Source organism: Homo sapiens, chromosome 4 (assembly GCF_000001405.40).
Source record: "Homo sapiens chromosome 4, GRCh38.p14 Primary Assembly".
In the NCBI taxonomy this organism is placed as follows: domain Eukaryota; kingdom Metazoa; phylum Chordata; class Mammalia; order Primates; family Hominidae; genus Homo; species Homo sapiens.
In genome coordinates this window covers 189,934,826-189,940,860 of record NC_000004.12, presented here as the reverse complement: position 1 = coordinate 189,940,860, position 6,035 = coordinate 189,934,826, and the positions used below count along the sequence as shown (strand labels likewise).

At 40.7% G+C, this 6,035-nt stretch overlaps 1 long non-coding RNA gene across 2 annotated transcripts in view; it reads left to right on the top strand.

Moving 5' to 3' along the window:
* Positions 128 to 6,035, top strand: part of FRG1-DT (FRG1 divergent transcript) — a 176,343-nt gene continuing 170,435 nt past the window's right edge. For both annotated transcript variants that reach the window (NR_149039.1, NR_149038.1), the window contains exons 1-2: positions 128 to 1,202; positions 3,528 to 3,664. This is a non-coding gene — a long non-coding RNA (FRG1 divergent transcript). The remainder of the gene's footprint in view (positions 1,203 to 3,527; positions 3,665 to 6,035) is intronic.

The window sequence follows — 6,035 nt, the reverse complement described above, 5'->3', positions numbered from 1 at the left end:
CACCCAAACGCTGAATGGCTCAGAGTTCCACTTCCGGGTTTCTGCCGGGGAGCTACGGCGGCCGCAGAGGGCCAAAAGGCATCCGCGCGCAGCTGCTCCCTGGCGCCCTCTCAAGGAGCCCCTGAGGATTCGCGCCTCCCGGAAGGGAGAAAAGCCCGCCCGAGGCGCGGTGCTGACGGTGGCTGGGCTGCCGGGTGCGCTGTGGAACCGCCTCCTGCTAGAGCAGCGGGCTGGCGACGGTCCTCGCCGGGGCGGGAAGCGGCTCAGGCTGCCCTCGCTGGCCTGCGGCGGCGCGGCTGGAAGCGCGGGCCACTCGTGCGTGGGTCACTCAGGACTGCGCCTCGCGCGACTGTGTGTGCAGGAAACAAGCAGGAAATACCCTAAAAGAGAATGAAGCGCCATGTTGAGGGTCGCGGACGTCGCGAGTGCTGTGGGAATGTGGGCTGAGGTGGAGAGTTATGGTAGCCCGTGTTACAGGCTCAGGGGTCTGAAAGAAGCCTAATCGTGGAGGCGGCATCTGAGGAGGGTCTTGAAGGCTGGGCAGGCATTTGCCCGACAGAGATGGAGGAAGCTAGTCCTGTCTGATGGAGGAAACAGGGCGGAGGCGTGGAGGGAGCCGTGCAGCGCTGGTGTGAGGAGCAGCGAGCAGGCCAGGCCTGTAAAGCAGAGTGAGGGAACCAGGATAGAGAAGGCAAGTCGGGGTCCTGTGGTCGCTGAAGAATTTGAATGAAATCAGTAAACAGGTGAGAGGGATCCATCGCAAGAGCATGGGATGAAAGGAGGAGTAGTCCACGGTGATTCCTCTGCAGCGGTGGGTGTTATTAATCGCGTATGTGACACCAAAACCACCCCACTCAAGCTGTGGCTCTTTCCCTAAAGTAGAAAACCGAGACCAGTTGGGTTCCAAGCATCCACGAAGATCTTATTAAATTCGTGATCCCTGGTGGCACCATGGAGTCAGGATTGGCTCATCTCAAACCTGACTCAGAAACAAAACCGTCACAATGTGCAGAGATGAGCGTCCTTACCGCTATCAACGTATTTTCTGGTGTTTTCACAGTGCTGCGCTTCCTAATCCCCATTCCATGGCAATCCACATGCCATGATGCCCGGAGTCATTAACAAAGGAGACACACAGGGGCTCCTCACGTTGGCTTTCCAGGGTTTTGATGAAAATCTGTTTCCTCGTCTCATACAATGTGGTTAGTAATAGTATCATTTAGGGTTGAAGAATTAAATGGTACGAGTTATATAGGGTGCTTATTATAACCTACATGGAAAATGCCTAGGATATGTTAGCTATGCTCATCACCAACATCGTTATATGATGGTAATAATCAGATAGTCAGGAAGCCTGACACCAAGAAAATGGATACATGCTCTGAAGGAATGAATGTGGAGAGATCAGAAGGTCAAGAACAAAGTCGTACAATATGTCTACAGTAAAGGGATAGAGAAAAGAAAGGCTATAAAAGAAGGAATGAAACAGAGTTAAATTATAGAAATCAAAGCTAAGGAGAATTTCCAGAAAGGGTAGTATCATTTAATATCATAGAAGTTTAGGAGCCCAAGATGGAAAAAAGGCCTCTGGGTAACTGACATTGAGGCAGTCTTTGGGGAAGCTCCATTTCCGATAGAGAAGTAGACTGAAAGTCAGCTTGAAGCAGGGACTAGGTGAAGAAGCTGTTGGCTGGTCGCATGGGGAAATAAATAAGGGATGGCATATGCCGTATTTCTGGATTTCTTTCTTTCTTGCCCAGCCTCTATATATGCACAGAGTTTGGCGAAAACTTACAAAAAATAAAAATGAAACCAATTTCGTTTGTAGACCCAAATACAATGCTTTCTGTTAGAATCAAGATAAATTCATGCCTCTCCCTTCTATTCAAACCGTCAGTTTTGAAATTAAACATCAGCTTTTCTTCTTCATTAAAATCATTTTCAGCTCTTCCCATTGATGGTTTGGGGGAGTTGCATAAGCAGTCAGGTCTTGATGAGTAGAGGAGGAGGGAACAAACACTTTCAGCAAAGGCAGAATTCTGAAATTCTGCTCATATTTTTTTCCAGTAACTTTCCTATGTTTGTGAGGTTATTCAGTCATAAAGATCCTAGTGAAATGTTTTTCAAGCTTTACTAATCATAATCACTGTGGACATTTGTTTAAAATGTGTATTCCCAGGCCTCTCACCTGGTGATTCTGATTCAGGAGATCATGGATGGGACTCAGCATACATGTGTTTGACAAGTATCACAAGTGGTTCTTATGGTCAGGCAAATTTGGGAAACTAACCAGGAATTTATGTTTTTATGACTGGCAGCTAGAAAAGATTCCTAGAGTCTTTGCTTTTTGAAAATAAAATATTTCTTTTTTAAAAGGAAAATTGTATGACTAGATACAGCATTTATACATGTGATAAATGTACTATACTGTGTGCTTTTGTCATATTTACAGTTAAAGATGTGTAAGAACACTCTGAGAAAAATTGTATATTAAATGAAAAGAGGGGTAAGTCAGGGTGGGGGAGAAATGAGAAGGGTGTGCTTATTGTTGCTAAAAGTTAGAAAAGCCAGAATGATAGCATCTAAGGTTGCAAATAGCACACTGTAAGTTGAGGGAGCTTCACAATCATGTCTGAAGCCTTCTTTGATATGCTGAGTTGTAAACAGTGGCTTTGGACAAGATTTGAGGGAGAAACCAACTATGCTTTAAAGTGTTCATTTAAAAGTCTTTAATTAAAGGAAAGTCTTTGCATTTACTTGAGCTAATTTAACTTCAGGACTTTAAGAAATTACTAGCCCTTAACCTCTTAAAAATTGTCTTTCATTTCAAATGAAAGTTTAAGGTGGCCTTTATGTTCGATTGGTATACTTGTGCGAAGACTTAACAGCAAGGTACTGTACAATTCTAAATGTTTACTTCTTAATTTTGCTGGAAGAAATATACTACTCAATTGATTATTTTTAAAGCAAAGTAAAACAATTTATTTTGACAAGTGACACTGTATTTTCCTAGTTTTTTGGTGGCAAAGATTAGTCTTAACATCACTAATCATCAGAGAAATGCAAATCAAAACCAAAACGAGATACCATCCTACACCAGTCAGAATAGCTACTATTCAAAAATTGAAAAACAACAGATCTTGGGAGGCTGTGGAGAAAGGGGAACATTTACACATAATTGGTGCAAATGTAAATTAGTTCAGCCACTGTTCAAAGCGGTTTGGAAATTTCTCAAAGCATTTAAAATAGAATTACCATTCAAGCCAACAATTCCATTACTGGTATATAACCCAAAGAGAATCAGTTATTCTACCAAAAAGACATATGCACTTGCATGTTCATCGCAGCACTATTCACAATAGCAAAGACATGGAGTCAGCCTAGGTGCCCATCGACAGTGGATTGGATCAATAAAATGTGGTACATCTACACAGTATGATTAGGCCATTCTTGCATTGCTATGAAGAAATACCTGAGGCTGGGTAATTTATAAGGAAAAGAGATTTAATTGGCTCACATCTCTGCAGGCTGTACAGGAAGCATGGTGATGGCATCTGCATGGCGCCTGTGGAGGCCCCAGGGAGCTTTTACTCATGATGGAAGGCACAGAGGGAGTAGGCACATCACATGGTCCGAGGAGGAGCAAGAGAAAATGGGAGTGGGGGTAAGTACCACACACCCTTACACAACCAGATCTTGAAAGAATTCACTATCACAAGGACGGCATCAGGCCATGAGAGATCCATCCCCATGACCCTACCAGGCCCCACCTCCAACACTGAGGATTACATTTCATCATGAGATTTATAGGGGCCACCTTCCAAACCATTTCATACACCACGGAATACTATGCAGCCATAAAAATAACAAAATCATGTCCTTTGAAACAACATGGATGCAGCCGGAGGCCATTATCCTAAGTGAATTAATGCAGGAACATAAAACAAAATACCACATGATCCCACTTATAAGTGGGAGCTAAACACTGGGTACTCATGGACATAAAGATGGAAAGAATAAACACCGGGACTACTAGAGGGGAGAAGGAGGAAGGCAAGGTTTGAAAAACTACCTATTGGGTATTATGCTCATGTATTAATCTGTTCTCACACTGCTGTAGAGAACTACCTGAGACTGGGTAATTTATAAAGAAAAGAGGTTTAACTGACTCACAATTCCACAGGCTGTACAGGAAGCATGGCTGGGAGGCTTCAGGAAACTTATAATCATGGCAGATGGTGAAGGGGGAAGCAAGGCACGTTCTACCATGGCGGAAGGAGAGCAAGTGAGCCAGGGGGGATTTGCCATATGTTTAAACCATCAGATGTCATGAGAACTCACTTACCATCTAAGAACAACAAGGGGGAAATCTGCCCTCATGAGCTAATCACCTCCCACCATGTCATTCCCCCTACATTGGGAATTACAATTCAACATGAGATTTGGGTGGGGACACAGAGTCAAATCATACCAAATCAGCATCTGGATGATGGGATCATTCATACCCCAAAACTCAGCATTATGAGATATACCCATGTAACAAACTGGCACATGTACCCCTGAATGTAAAATACAAGTTAAAATTATTTTCAAAATAAATTAATTAATGAATAAATAAATATTATTAAATTAAATTAAAATTTTGAATTAAAAAAATTTGAGAGTGATTTCAGCTTGACAGTTATGTAAGTTATGTAAATGGAAACAGTGAGTTCTGTAAGGTTCGGATAAATTGGACTATGTGTACTAAGTTGATGTCCAGTTGTTTGGATGAAAAGAAAAGAGGAGAAACATATAGATCTAACAGGAAAAAAATGGACAAGTTTTTATGATAGCAAAAAGAAAAATGGAGGAAATAGGACTGAGATTATAGTGATTGATAGATATTAATAGACGACTAAGTCAAAAGCCACTGGTTGCAGAAAATATTGATTAATTTTGTTTTATTCCAGTCAGACAACAAAATTCTATGCCCTGCCTCCAGAGAAAAACCTTTTAGCCCTGTAATTATCTTTATTCCAAGCACCATTCCATTCATTAAGTAGTGTATACGGTGATTAATAAGTGAATTATTCACCGAATTGAGACAGAAGTTTTGAGTATTTCAGGATATTAATAGTATAGTCAATGAACTAAAATAAAATTTGACTAGAGGTGTGATCACCATGAATGCCATGTTGGTATCTTGTTAGATTTGGCAACCTAAAGTTGACAAATTTATTTATAAAATAAACATTCATTGATGATTAATTTATAATTAGTAGACATGCTCTGTCTTCTTCCTTCGTTTTCTTTTTCATTCATTCATTCATTCCTACAGAGCAGTGACTTTCATTCTAAGATTCCCAGAATCCTAAGGAATTCTTGAACGTCATCATAGGGAGCCAGGTGTGGGGATTCCCAAAAGTTGTATTTAATACTTGAAAAAATCTCGAAAAGTTATATATTTACACCAGAAACAGCTATACAGGTTTTAAGTTATGTATATATAGTTGAATATATTTTATTTCTATCCAGAACTAAGTCATTAGAGTTAGTAATGTTGATTATTTCATACTGACCTAATGGGTAGCCTTTATATATCATTGATTACTTATTAATAAAATAAGAACCACCCCCAAAATTACAAAATAAATATATTTTGTGGGTTTTTCTTAAGGCTTTTGAAACATAAAATCAGAGGAGAGGATTAAAAGTAATCCGTGATTGTTAAAAAGGCAGGAAACTACTAACTTAGAAAATTGTATGAAAACAGCAAGATATATACATGGACCTCAGACCAGCTGCCTGTTTTAATAAAGTTTTATTGGAGCACATCCATGGATCTATGGTGCTTTCCTGCTACAATGGTAGAGTTGAATGGTTGCTATAGAGACCGTATGGTTTGCAAAGCTTAAAATATTTATCATCTGGTCCTTTATAGCAAAAGTGAACCCAGTTTTAGAACATTCACTTCACAAATTAAGATACAGTGGATGCTGCCTTAACTGACCTCCACTTAACTGATTTACAATTAGCACTTTCTGGTACCCCTG